Below are 13,869 nucleotides of genomic sequence, written 5' to 3' on the forward strand. Positions count from 1 at the left end.
TGAAGGGGCCCTAGGGCAGTGGTGTTCGATGAGGTGGGAGTTTGGCAGTGGGTCCTCAGCAGGGTGTAGTGGAGCACAGCCCGCAGTGGGCAAGGTGCTCCGAGAGAAATGCACAGAAGAAACGGGTAACAGCCCCTGCCCTGGAGGAACCAAGAGTCAAGAGTCAGCGTGGGGAGGGCAGGGCTGCTTCTGTACAAAATAACTGGAGGGGCCAGCACAGTGGCTTACACCTGTAATCCTAGCACTTTGGGAGGCTGAGGTGGGAGAATTGCTCGAGCCCAGGAGTTCAAGGCTGCAGTGAGCTATGATCGTGCCGCTGCACACCAGCCTGAGCAACAAAGTGAGACCTTGTCTCTTAAATAAACTAATACATAATAAAGTAACTGGAGAAATTATAGGCTGAGAGATTGGCTGGAGGTGGAGCAGAATCTTTAGGGCAGGCCTCCGGGAGACAGACTAGAAATGAGCCTAGAAGGATCAGTGTGGTTTGGAGCATAACGTGAGATCTGAAGAAAAAGAAACCCAGGAGCCTCCTTGGAAGGGTAGAAAGTCTGTGACCCGCAGAAGTAACATTCAGAGAAGCAGAGGGCTTGCTAATGGGTGAAGGCCTGGGTGTTCAGGGAAGTGGATGCTCTTAGAGGCAGGAAGAATGGGAGGCCTTGAGGAGGAGAAGGTGGGGCATTGAAAAGGGGTGAAGGGAAGCAAGGAGTCCTAGAAGGTCTCTCTTACAGAAGCTCAGAAATAGCAACTAAATCACCTATTGGGGGAGGGCTCTAACACCAGCATCTGCACCTACCCTTTTTTAAACTTACAAAATACTCCAAATGTATTAGAATACTCAAAATAACATGACAGAAGCCCATGCCCACCACCCAGAGTGACACAAGTTAACGTTTGCCAGTTGGCACCTTAGAGTGTTGGTTTGGCTGTTCCTTTTACAGCTGTGCAGAGCCCAATGCTGCGCAGAGAGGCTGAGGCAGAGCTAGGGGATTCCAGTTCAGGGCTTTTTTTTTTTTTTTTAAAGACCGTCTCAATCTGTCGCCCAGGCTGGAGTACAGTGGCGCAATCTTGGCTCACTGCAACCTCCACCTCCCGGGTTCAAGTGATTCTCCTTTCTCAGTCTCCTGAGTAGCTGGGATTACAGGCACCTGCCACCATACCTGGCTGATTTTTTTTAGAGATGGGGTTTCACCATGTTGGCCAGGCTGGTCTCGAACTCCTGACCTCAGGTGATCTGCCTGCCTCAACCTCCCAAAGTGCTGGGAGTAGAGGCGTGAACCACTGCGCCCGACCCCAGTTCAGAGCATTTGACTGTGTTCCTCCTCGATGCCAGGCCTGGACTGATGCATGCTGAGGCCCCAGAGGAGAATCTGCTACTTCCAGTCGCCATCCTGCCTCCTGGGGGTGGTTTTTGCAGTAACCACAGAAGGAATAGTCTGGTTTTCTTTAAATGCAGTGTAAAATTCAAAAGATCTAAAAGAATATACAATGAAACATCTGCCTTCCACATCTGACCCCCAGCCCCCATGCACTTCCACAGGGAATTCACCTCACCAGTTTGAGTCTTCTTCCAGAGAGATCTTGCACCTGTACAAATACATCTTTCCATTTTATTTTCAAAAACCTAAATAGCGGCCTGACATTTAAAAAAATCTTTTTTATGGAGGTAAAAATGTTAACGTACAGCTGGAATACCTTTCACACATGCACACATCGATGTCTCCCCACCAGGCTCTGGATACGGAGCTGCCAACCCCCTGTACACTCTCTCATGGGTCTTTCTAGTCAATACCCCCACCCCAGAGCAGTTAACCACTGCTCAGCTTCCAGGACCATTCGTTAGTTTTACCTGTTTTTGAACTTAGTATAAATGGCTTTCAACCCTAAATGGCAGCGGGAGGGTATGTTCACATGGGACTGGAGGCTGGAGGATGCCTTGCAGTCCCAGGGTTCTGTGGTTGATGCTGGTCAGAGCCCTGGGTGCCTGGGGCTGGCCAGTGGTGCTAATGTGGGGTTTTTGTTTTTATTTTTATTTATTTTTTTGAGACAGGGTTTCACTCCAGGCTGGAGTGCAGTGGTGTCATCATAGCTCACCGCAGCCTCTACCTCCTGAGCTCAAGCAATCCTCCCAGCTCAGCCTCCAAGTAGCTGGGACTATAGGCGCATGCCACCACACCTGGCTGATTTTGTATTTTTTGTAGAGCTGAGGTTTCACCACATTGACCAGGCTTGTCTCAAACTCCTGGGCTCAAGTCATCCTCCTGCCTGGCCTCCCAAAATGCTGGGATTACTGCGCCCAGCCCAGGGGGTGCTATTTTGGAGCCTAAGTGTTGGCCCACTCTCTCAAGTCCTATGGAACCATGTGTAGGCAACCATGGTAAAGGCATGGGAATCCCAGCTCTAGTGACTGACATTGTCACAGATCACATATAAATCCGAGGAGGGTGGGTGGAACAGTTGTGGACACCATTTGACTGAGTAGAAGCCAGGGCCTAGAATAATGTGTAACGCATAGTAGGTACTCAGTCAGTACTGGGTGAGTGAGTGGATGAGTGGATGGATGTGTGGGTGGATGAGTAGATGGGTGGATGGATAGAGGGGTGGGTGGATGAAGCCAAGACAGGTGGTTAAGCAGTTTCCCACAGTTCCAAAGCAATGGGAGTTGGGCCCCACCCCGAGACCCTCACCCCAAACAGGCATCCCTCTAATTATATGGATGTTAATTATATTGACCCTGTGGAGCCAGACATCCTGCCTCTGTTACTGTCTTGCCTGCTGTCTTACAGGGTCCTACAGTGCTAGCCAGGGTGTCAACTGCATCCGTGAAGATGTGGCTGCCTACATCACCAGGAGGGATGGCGGTGTGCCTGCGGACCCCGACAACATCTACCTGACCACGGGAGCTAGTGACGGCATTTCTGTACGTGTGAGGGTGGCTCGTTGTTATCCGGTGTTTACCCACATGAAGAGCAGCCTTGCCTGTTAGGGCCCAGCATTGGAATTGGCTAGCAGGGAGGGTGGCAGCACGGGTGGCCACCCTCTGGTCCCCCAGCCCTGGCAGCCTGCAGTCTTTGCCTCTTTTAGTCTTCATGAGCCTAGACACTACTGCAGCCTCGATTTCTGTCCGGAGTGCACACCAGCAGGTCCAGCTGCAGAGAAGCCGGGGGACACCCGAGGGTAGCCACTGGCCTTTCTGTGGTTCTGCACGTACTGGTGTTCCTCCTGTGCCAGGTGCTGGGGAGACAATGGGAAACCAAACACATCATTTGGCCTCTGCCTACACAGGCAGAGCAGACCAGCTGATATCACAAAAATAAATGCACATCACAAGCTTTTAGTTTCTCTTCTGCAGTAGAGAAGGACAGGGTGTTATGGGAAGGAGCAGTGGGAACTCCGACCTGGTGGAGCGGGGGCAGGAAGTCTCCAAGGAAGGCCGAGTAGACACCGACCTGAGGGACACACAGGAGTGAACTGGGAGAGGGGGTGTGCTCTGAGCTGAAGGTCACTGTGTGCAGAGGCCTAGAGCTGGCAGGAGTCTGAGTGCTGGGAACTGGAGATGCTGGGGGATGAGTGCACAGCAAGGGTCGGAGTTACCAGGCGTGGGCTGGCAAGGCAGCTGGCACCAGTACAGGGCCTTAGAGGCCATGCTGAGGATTTGGGTCATTGTGCTAAGAACAACAGGGAGCCACTGAAGGGTTTGAAGGAGAAGGAGGTGGAGCAGTTAGATTTCTGTTCCTAAGTTTTAATTTTGGCTGGGAGGGGCACAGGAGGCAAAAGGAGGTATCTCGGGCTGGGGTCAGCTACCGATGGGGTCGGGGAGGGCTGGGGCCAGTGGTTACTTGCAGTCTGGAGTGCAGTGGAGTTACTTGCAGTGGAGTCTACAGTCCTGGGCTTGGGGGACTGGTGGAGCCTGCAGTCCTGGGCTTGGGGGACTGGTAGAGCCTGCAGTCCTGGGTTTGGGGGACCGGTGGAGGTTTCAGTCCTGGGCTTGGGGGACTGGTAGAGCCTGCAGTCCTGGGTTTGGGGGACTGGTAGAGGTTTCAGTCCTGGGTTTGGGAGACCGGTGGAGCCTGCAGTCCTGGGCTTGGGAGACCGGTGGAGCCTGCAGTCCTGTGTTTGGGGGACTGGTGGAGCCTGCAGTCCTGGGCTTGGGGAAGTGGTGGACTACAGTCCTTGCGGGGGACTGGTGGAGCCTGCAGTCCCGGTGGGGGACTGGTGGAGCCTGCAGTCCTGTGTTTGGGGGACTGGTGGGGCCTGCAGTCCTGAGCTTGGGAGACTGATGGAGCCTGCAGTCCTGGGCTTGGGGGACTGGTGGAGTCTGCAGTCCTGGGGTGGGGGGACTGGTTGCCTGCCTATCCCTTTCTGCACACGCCTCCCAGGGCCTGGAATGGTGCTGGGTGCTGTCAACTCATCTGTTCTCAGGGAGCCATGTGCTGTCTGAACGCTTCCTTTAATGGGGCTTTGTTTCCTGACCTGTAAGGCTCTTGTTTGTTGAGTGCTTTTTTCCTTTCCCAAAGCCTTTCTTACACGTTAAGCTCTTATTGGAGCCCATGGGAAATGGAGGCCCAGAGACATTAAGTGGTCTACCTGCCTAGAGTCAGTTCTTGTGACATTTGGGACTCTAACATTGGAGCTCCAGCTACCAATCACATCATCTTCCATTGCCTTCTGCTGTCAAGGCCTCTCTTGAATCCCAGAAATGCCCAGTGTGGGAAGAGGTCCTGGAGGAGGGAAGGGGGCGTGTCCACAAGATTCAGTGGAAAGAATCAAGTCATTGTACTTTAAAATCTCGTGGCATTTTTGTAGCAAGGAACTGAGTCTGAAAAAGGACCTATGCCCGTGTTTAAGGTGGAGACTCTCCCTGCAGAGGGTTTTGTCTAATTAATTCAATGAATTACTGGCACATCCACCAATACCCCAAAGGAATCCCATGGCCTGGTTTCTCAGAAATCTTCAACAAGCATCCTGCTCAGCTTGGAAAACAGGTCAAAGCGCCACCTGGTGGCAGTAGATGGGTATTTTATCCCATTTTAAGAGTCCCCTGTTGGGGTGGGTGTGGGGTGGGGTCTTTCCAACCTTGGGCACTAATACTGATAACACACATTCCTGGGCCCCACCCCTGACATAGGGAATCAGGATTACAGGAGCAGGGTCAGAATAATTCTGAGACAGGGCTAGTGTGGGAACTATTTTAGAAGTATTAAAAATACAAGTATTGAGTCTGTTTAAAAATATATATTTTTAAAAGAAAAATAATATTTTTAAATTTTTAAGTAGGGAGGTGGAGGTCTCACTGTGTTGCCCAGGCTGGTCTCGAACTCTTGGCCTCAAGCGATTTGGCTGCCTCAGTCTCCCAAAGTGCTAGGATTTTAGACGTGAGCCACCGTGCCCAGCCTAAGTACTGAGTCATTAACTACACGTTCTGCACTGTGCTGAGAACTTTAGAATGTTGTATTTTGCTTACTCCTCGCAGCTGCCCTCATTTTACAGATGAGGAAACTGAGACTCGGGGAAGTAAAGCGACTTGCACAGAGTTGGACTGGAGGCATGCAGTGGGGCCACGGGTGAAAGGCTAGGTCAGGGATGGGAAGTAGTGCTGGCTTTCTAGATGTGAATTCTCTGTTGCAGACGATCCTGAAGATCCTCGTCTCCGGGGGCGGCAAGTCACGGACAGGTGTGATGATCCCCATCCCACAATATCCCCTCTATTCAGCTGTCATCTCTGAGCTCGACGCCATCCAGGTGAATTACTACCTGGACGAGGAGAACTGCTGGGCGCTGAATGTGAATGAGCTCCGGCGGGCGGTGCAGGAGGCCAAAGACCACTGTGATCCTAAGGTGCTCTGCATAATCAACCCTGGGAACCCCACAGGTCTGCACTTTACTTCCTCACCAGTTTCGTAGAGGGTGGGGGTGGCTGATACACTGGCTGTCTAGAAACCAGAGTTAAATAATTGGAGGGTCTCTCTGCCCCTAGTTTCCCTTCCAGATTTGCTAACCTAAAGCCATGAAATTTGCCACAGGCCACCTCAAGAGGTGAGTAGGCCAGGTGCGGTGGCCCATGCCTGTAATCCCAGCACTTTGGGAGGCCGAGGCAGATGGATCACATGAGGTCAGAAATTGGAGACCAGCCTGGCCAACATGGCGAAACCCTGTCTCTACTAAAAACACAAAAATTAGCAGGGCATGGTGGTGTGCGCCTGTAGTCCCAGCTGCTCAGGAGGCTGAAGCATGAGATTTGCTTGAACTCCAGAGGCAGAGGTTGCAGTGAGCTGAGATCACGCCACTGCACTCAAGCCTGGGTGACAGAGCGAGACTCTGTCTCAAAAAAAAAAAAAAAAAAAAAAAAAAAACTTAGCCAGGTGTGGTGGTACATGCGGTCCCAGCTACTAGGGAAGCTGAGGTGGAAGGATCGCTTGAACCCAGGAGGCAGAGGTTGCAGTGAGCCAAGATTATGCCACTGCACTCCAGCCTGGGCAATAGAATGAGACCTTGTCTAAAAAGTGAGTAAATGCAGACATTTTCTGGGGCAGTTTGAATAATAATTATTATTTTATAGAGATTGGGTCTTACTCTGTGGCTCCAGGCCTGGCTGAAGTGCAAGTGGTATGATCATAACTCACTGCAGCCTTGAACTCCTGGAGATCTTCCTGTCTCAGCCTCCTGAGTAGCTCAGACTACAGGCAGCACCACCACGCCCAGCTAATATTTTAATTTTTTATTTTTGTAGAGACAGGGTCTTGCTGTGTGTCCCAGGCTGGTCTTAACTCCTGGCCTCAAGTGATCCTCCCAAAGCACTGGGATTATAGGCATGAGCCACTGCACCCAGCCAGGGTTGTATTGTTATTTTTAAGACTGGTTTTTTGGGTGTTTTTTTCCCCTGTTCTTCATTTGCAAAGACTTGCCTCCTTGAGATTATTTACTCACAAACTTACCGTTAATCATAGGCCTCATTTTACCGTCACTCTTCCTTATTTTTCTGAACTGGATTTGAGAATGCTGGTGTGTGTGTTGGTTTTTCTTTGATACAGCACTGCTGTGTACCTTTAAGGCCTGAGAGGAAAATGTCATATTCAAAACAAAAGCAACTAAACCAAAAAAACCACTAATTTCCAGAAGTTGAAAAGCACCCCCAATTTTGCATATTTTTCTTTAAAAAAAAGTCTGCAGTCCTGCCTGTTTTGATCTTTCTGGGCCGCTGCCTTCATATGCCCCCAGTGCTATTTGGACACAGGGAACAAGGGCTCCTCTCTCCTCCTTTGTTGAGATAAATTGGGTCAGGGCCAAAATGCATTGGAGTTGGTTGTGGAATCTGTTTCTCGGGAACATCAAATGATGCTTCAGTCAGCTGAAAACACCCCTTGAATTCCCGAGTGCAGAAAATGGGTGCAGCTGGCGATACCACTGGCTTGTTTACCCCAGCTCCTGGGAGTGTGGGGGATAAAGATTCAGTAGGAAAATAACATAGAGCTGGCTTCTCAATCCTGGTTGTACGTTAGAATCACAAAGGGAACTTTGAAAAATGTCAAAATTGAGGCCACACCCTAGGATCTCTGAGATATCGGTAGCCTGTGCTGCCGAGGCTGAGACCCACTGCCTCAGAAGCATGGTGCCCAAGCTGCGGGGCCCCACTTCAGACACTTGGATGTAATTGGGCCGGGGTATGGTTTGAGAGTTTGCATCTCTAACAAATTCCCAGGTGATACTGATGCCGGGCCCAGGACCACACTTGGGGTAGCAAGTTCTGCAACATCTTGGGAAAGACACTGTACCTAGTCCACATCACAGAGTCAACACATTCTTGGCCAGGTGTTTACATAAATCTTTTCACCTGACTGAGAAGAAGTCATTGTACCAGAGAAGTCTCCTGCTCTGAGTAAAGAGGTCATTTTCTATTAATCTGATATATTGACATAAGTAATTTTTATAAAGAATAACTTTATGAGTGGGCAGGACCTGGCCTTGCTCCCGGGGTCTTCACTGTGTGAGAGTCAGTCAGCTGTGAGAAGAGGGTCTCTGGAAAATAGAAACCCACCTGTGATGACCATATGTCTTGTCTGGACCACACACTGTGACCAGGGTGGCTTAAAGGTGTCAGAGTGGACTGGGTTCTTAAACCAGGACCCTTTTGGTTTCAAGACAGAAACCCAACTTGAGACTGAAGGGATTGGAGGGTGGAACTGTGGAGTGCAGGGTTGAAGCAGTGCGCCTGAGTCAGAGTCCGTGTCACAGGAGCCTCGGTACCCTCCTCAGCTGTACCTTCCTCTGGGTTGCAGTCCTCAGGAAGAATCCATCCTTGGAGTGGCTTCAGCACTTTCAGCCATTGCCATCAGCTGAGCTGCCTTACAGCCGAGCCTCTTCCAGAGTTTCACCATTCCCAAGTTGGGTCACCTGCCCATTCCTGAACCAGTCAAATCCCTGGGACTCTGATTGGCAGCTCTGTGTCCCAGGCCTCCCGCTGGAGTTCCCCATAGGACAGTGGTATTAGGCCATTCTTGCATTGCTATAAAGAAATACCTGAGACTGGGTAATTTTTAAGAAAAGAGGCTTGATTGGTTCACAGTTCTGCAGACTGTACAGGAAGCATGGTGGTATCAGCTTCTGGGGATGCCTCAGGAAGCTTCCAGTCAAAGCGGAAGGTGAAGGGGGAGCACGCACATCGCATGGCAAGAGCAGGAACAAGAGAGAGAATCAGGGCGGGGCAGGGGATGCCGCAGACTTTCAGGGTCTGCTCCCTTGACCCAAACACCTCCCACTAGACCCACCTCCAACATGGGGATTACATTTCAATGTGAGATTTGGGTGGGGACAAACATCCAAACTACGTGAACAGTCGTGATCTGTCACTCAAAGGAGGATGCTCAGTCACCAGCTACAGATGTTCCCATCAGCTTTTGGGGAATTAATTTGGCCCAGCCTCGAAAGGTACTTGGGAGACCCCTCTCCAGCCTTTGGGGCCTGTATCAAAGCCATGTCTCATGTCTCCCCCAGCTGTGCCCTGGCTTCTCTAATGCCATTTATGACATTCCCTTCTCCTGCGCCACTGTTCATGCACTTATCTGTTCACTGGCTCAGCGGGCATGCTCTGAGGCGCTGGAGAGAACTAAGTTCTGCCCTTATCCTCACGCTGTGTGTAACAGCAGTATTATTTGCACACACTGGGTCTCATTTCCTTTACTGGGCTGAAGTCTTTTTAAGGCTCTGGTTCTTGCTTAGTCACTTGTGTTTCCTTTAGCATTTAGTGAACACAGCTTTTCTGGTGCTCAAATCCTGGTTTGCATTCCAACAGGATAAAGTTTGTGGCATCACAAGCATGGAAGGGCAAGACCAGGAGGAATTACAGGCAGGTTCTGCTGTCCTCAGAAACCAGCCCTTCTCTGTCTGTGAGAATAGTGGCTGGTTTCTTATAGAAGCTGGGGCCTGCCACCCTCCTGGCATCCCAGAACCCTGAGCTTTTTAAATAGGAAGCCTAGTTGGTGCTTTCTTGGCAGAAGAAAAGTTGGTCCGTTAGTAAAGGAATTGGTTCATTGCTTAGCTAGTTCAAGATAGAAATTCTAATGGAATCATGCCACAGTCTTACAAGGTACGTGTGTATGTTTTTTCCAGGCATATTTTTTATATTTTTCCATAGACCAGAATATAGGTATTATTAACAAAAAGGTAAGATACTCTATATACTGTTTTGCATATATATATATGTATGTATATATATATGTACACACACACACAGTAATAGGCTGGGTACAGAGGCTCATGCCTGTAATCCCAGCACTTTGGGAAGCTGAGGTTGGTGGATGGCCTGAGCCCAGGAGTTTGAGGCTGCAGTGAGCTAGGATCATGTAACTGCACTCCAGCAAGAGTGACAGAGCAAGACACTGTAAAGAATATACATACATGCATGTATAGAAACATATGTACACACACTTAGATATATATGTAATATACACAGGCATATAGTAAACAAACATAGCCCTTGTTAAGAAGTTAGCAAGCCTGATTATAGTGGTGGTTTTCCAGAGGATATTGTGAGCACATCAGATATTCCCGGTGCCACACTCAAAGCAGGTCTCAGGAAATACCGAGGGAAGGTCCCATTTCTACCTCGTTGCGTTTACTCCTTCCCTCACCTGTACCCATGGCATTTCGTGTGAACGGATGGATCACTATCTTGCTGTTTGCACTCATTTCTCTAAAATGGGGGCTGGGTGCGGTGGCTCACGCCTGTAATCTCAGCACTTTGGGAGGCCGAGGCGGGTGGATCACTTGGGGTCAGGAGTTCAAGACCAGCCTGGGTACATGGTAAAACCTCTTCTCTACAAAAAATAAAAAAGTTAGCTGGGCATGGTGGCTTACGCCTGTAGTTTCAGCTATTCGGGAAGGCTGAGGCAAGAGAATCACTTGAACCCAGGAGGCAGAGGTTGCAGTGAGCTGAGATTGTGCCACTGCACTCCAGCCTGGGTGACAGAGTGAGACTCCATCTCAAAAATTAAAGAGAAATAATAAAATGTGTTGTAAGTGTTCTCTGTTAGCGTTGAGTCCTGCAGCGTGCTCATCTTTAGTGATGCATGGTAGCAGCTGACAGGAGACACCAAAGCTGGTGCCCAGGCCCATTCACTTAGCATTTATTCTGCAGTTATTTTTTGAGCATCTGTTGAGTGCTGTCTTCCAGGGCAGACGATGAGCGGGGAGAGGCCTTGTCCCTGCCTTGTGGAGCTCATGGGTGCCTCTCTGGGGAGAAAGAAGCTAACTCTTCACCCGGTGGCCACAGCCAATGCGAGTCTCTTCACCATCTGCTGCTGGTGTGCAGTAATGGGGGGGAGGGCACAAGCTGATAGATTTAACTCCTGCAGTTGTATTTTCCTGCTCTTTGTTTTATTTTTGAGACAGGGTCTTGCTCTGTCACCCAGGCTGGAGTGCAGTGGCACAGTCATAGCTCACTGCAGCCTCAAACTCCTGAGCTCAAGCAATCCTCCAGTCTCAGCCTCCCAAGTAGCTGGGACTACAGCCATAAGCCACCACACCTGGATAATTTTTATTGTAGAGTTGAGGTGTTGCTGTGTTGCCCATGCGGTCTGGAACTCCTGGGCTCAAGCGGTCCTCCCACCCTGGCCTCCCGAAGCCGCTGGGATTACAGGCGTGAGCCATTGTAGCAGGCCTTTTCTCCCTGCTCCTTATGATGCTTCCATGCCTTTCTGTTCTGCAGCACAGACATACCACACACACACCACATACACACACACCACAGAGACGTACACCACACATAGACACATACTACAAACACTGCACACAGACACCCACACATGCACATGTGTGTGCACACACACACACCACCACACCTACACAAATACCACATAGACACACACCCCACCACACCTACACACACACCAAATACAGACACACACACCCCACCACACCTGCACACACATTACACACCATACACAGACACCCCAACACACCTACACACACACCACACAGACACAAACACACTCTTACACCCCACCACACCTACACACGCAACATATACAGACACACACCCCACCACACCTACACACACACCAAATACAGACACACATACCCCACCACACCTGCACACATTACACACCACACACAGACACACCTCAACACACCTATACACACACCACACACAGATACACACACACTCATACCCCCACCACACCCACACACACACTACAGACTCACACACACACCACATACACACACCCCACACACAGGCTCATATACCCACCACACCTACACACACACCCCCATCACACCTACACACACACCTACACACATACACAGACACATACACCCCACACCACACTACAACTACACACACACCACACAGACACACACACACCCACCACACCTACACACACACACATCCCACCATGCCAACACACCACACACAGACACATGCACATGTGAGTGTATGCGTGCACACACCCCACCACACCTACAAATACCACACCACACCTACACACAAAGCCTTCATAAAAATAAGAGCCGGGCCGGGCGTGGTGGCTCACACCTGTAATTCCAGCACTTTGGGAGGCCGAGGCGGGCGGATCACCTGAGGTTGGCAGTTCAAGACCAGCCTGATCAACATGGAGAAACCCCGTCTCTACTAAAAATACAAAATTGGCCAGGCATGGTGGCGCATGCCTGTAATCCCAGCTACTCGGGAGGCTGAGGCAGGAGAATGGCATGAACTCGGGAGGCGGAGCTTGCAGTGAGCCGAGATTGTGCCACTGCACTCCAGCCTGGGTGACAGAGCGAGACTCCGTCTCAAAAAAATTAAAAAAAAAAAAATAAGAGAGCCAGGTGAGAACCCCTTCTCCCTCGCATAACTGGCTGAGGAGAGTCAGACACACAGGCTGCTCTTCTGGGCGTCCCTGGAGGCCGACTACACCATCATGCATGGCAGCTGGGGAGGGGGGCCTCTGCGGGGAGGGTGTTCTATGGGTCTCAAGGGAACACAGGGCACTGAGTGATTCTGGATGGGCTTCTGACCTGGGGACAATTTAAACAGCATTACAACCGACATTTTGGTTTTCTTGGGGATTTTATAGGCCAGGTACAAAGCAGAAAGTGCATAGAAGATGTGATCCACTTTGCCTGGGAAGAGAAGCTCTTTCTCCTGGCTGATGAGGTAAGAATGTCCCCACTCAGAGGGAGTGGGCACTAGCTTTCTCTTCTAGAGGGAGGGACCCAGCCCCCATTGTTCTGCAGCCAGAGAGAACTGTCTTGGTGTTGGAGGAATGATTCTGGCCTAGGGTGAGGATATTTAGTTTTACAACTTGTGGGACTGTGACTTAATTTACCCCTTTATTGGTTTGTACTCTTGGTTGTAAATTTCAGAAATTCAGCCCAAATCACTTAAGCTCCAAAAGAAAAAGGAAAAAGAAAAAATGCCAGTGGGGTCACAGGTACGCAGCTGGATCCAGGGGCTTGGACCTTATCTTTCAGGTCCTCTTTCCCTTTTCTACCCCTCTGTGTTGGCCTCATACACAGGCCTGTTATCTTTTCAGCCTAGAGATTCCCAGCCTAGAAAGAGGGCTTTTTGCCCTGGTGGTTGCAGCAAGTCTCAGAATTGAGCTTCATTGGTTCAGCCTGAGTCACACGCCCATTGCTGAACCAATCACTGTGATGTAGGGGTTCCAGTATGCAGATTGGCCAGGCCCAGAGCATAGGGTGGGCCCTCTGCTTTCTTCTCCCAAACCTCCAGATAGAGAACCAAGGAGGGTTATTCCTTGAGGGCCAATTGAGGGGGCTCCTACCCAACAAAGGAGGGTGGGTTCCCAGTGGCAGAAATGACTGACGCCCACTCCTCATAAAGCTGCAGTTCTGTGCCTCCCAGCGCTTCTGTATCTACTGTCTCATTTAATTCGCTTACATCTCAGGAAGGGATCTTAACCCGGTACCTGTTGCTTCTTGAACTCCAGTTCTGGAACCAGGGTCTGCTCATTCTTTTTCTGTTTTGTAAGAAAGAAACTGAGGTTCCAGCAAATCCTCTTTTTATTTCCTCTTCATTTCTGCATGGTTTCCGGCGAGCTGCAGCTTCTAGCCCGCTGCCTTCATTTCTTTGCTCCTTGTCACCCCCCCACACATGCCACACACATAAATGCAGACACACACACACGCATACACACACAGACATACACACATATACATATGTACATACAGACACACACAGACACACGTACATAGACACACACACATACATACACACACAGCTTACCCATCAAATTGTTGCCTTAATAGTAGATGGGCCTGATATCTTCATTTCTAAAGGAGAGAAAGGGCAGCAGAGAGACCCATGGGTTTCCTCACAACCTGGTATACAGAACTTCCTTCTGGGTCTGGGAA

General features: G+C 50.1%; 1 protein-coding gene across 8 annotated transcripts in view, besides 1 other annotated feature; it reads left to right on the forward strand.

Annotated features, from left to right (window-relative positions):
• The window catches only part of GPT2 (glutamic--pyruvic transaminase 2), a 46,928-nt gene that overhangs the window by 19,694 nt on the left and 13,365 nt on the right, over window positions 1-13,869 (forward strand). For all 8 annotated transcript variants that reach the window (XM_047434812.1, NM_133443.4, NM_001142466.3 and 5 more), the window contains exons 5-7: window positions 2,787-2,920; window positions 5,629-5,872; window positions 12,573-12,652. In XM_047434812.1, coding sequence (XP_047290768.1) covers window positions 2,787-2,920; window positions 5,629-5,872; window positions 12,573-12,652 — 458 coding nt within the window. The remainder of the gene's footprint in view (window positions 1-2,786; window positions 2,921-5,628; window positions 5,873-12,572; window positions 12,653-13,869) is intronic.
• Window positions 6,293-6,342: a silencer, noted in NCBI's record as "silent region_7437". NCBI's record gives its function as "represses an Ori minimal core promoter by ATAC-STARR-seq in GM12878 lymphoblastoid cells {active_cell/tissue: GM12878}" and the evidence as "EXISTENCE:reporter gene assay evidence [ECO:0000049][PMID:35858748]".

The sequence above is a fragment of the Homo sapiens genome, chromosome 16 (genome assembly GCF_000001405.40).
Source record: "Homo sapiens chromosome 16, GRCh38.p14 Primary Assembly".
Classification (NCBI taxonomy): domain Eukaryota; kingdom Metazoa; phylum Chordata; class Mammalia; order Primates; family Hominidae; genus Homo; species Homo sapiens.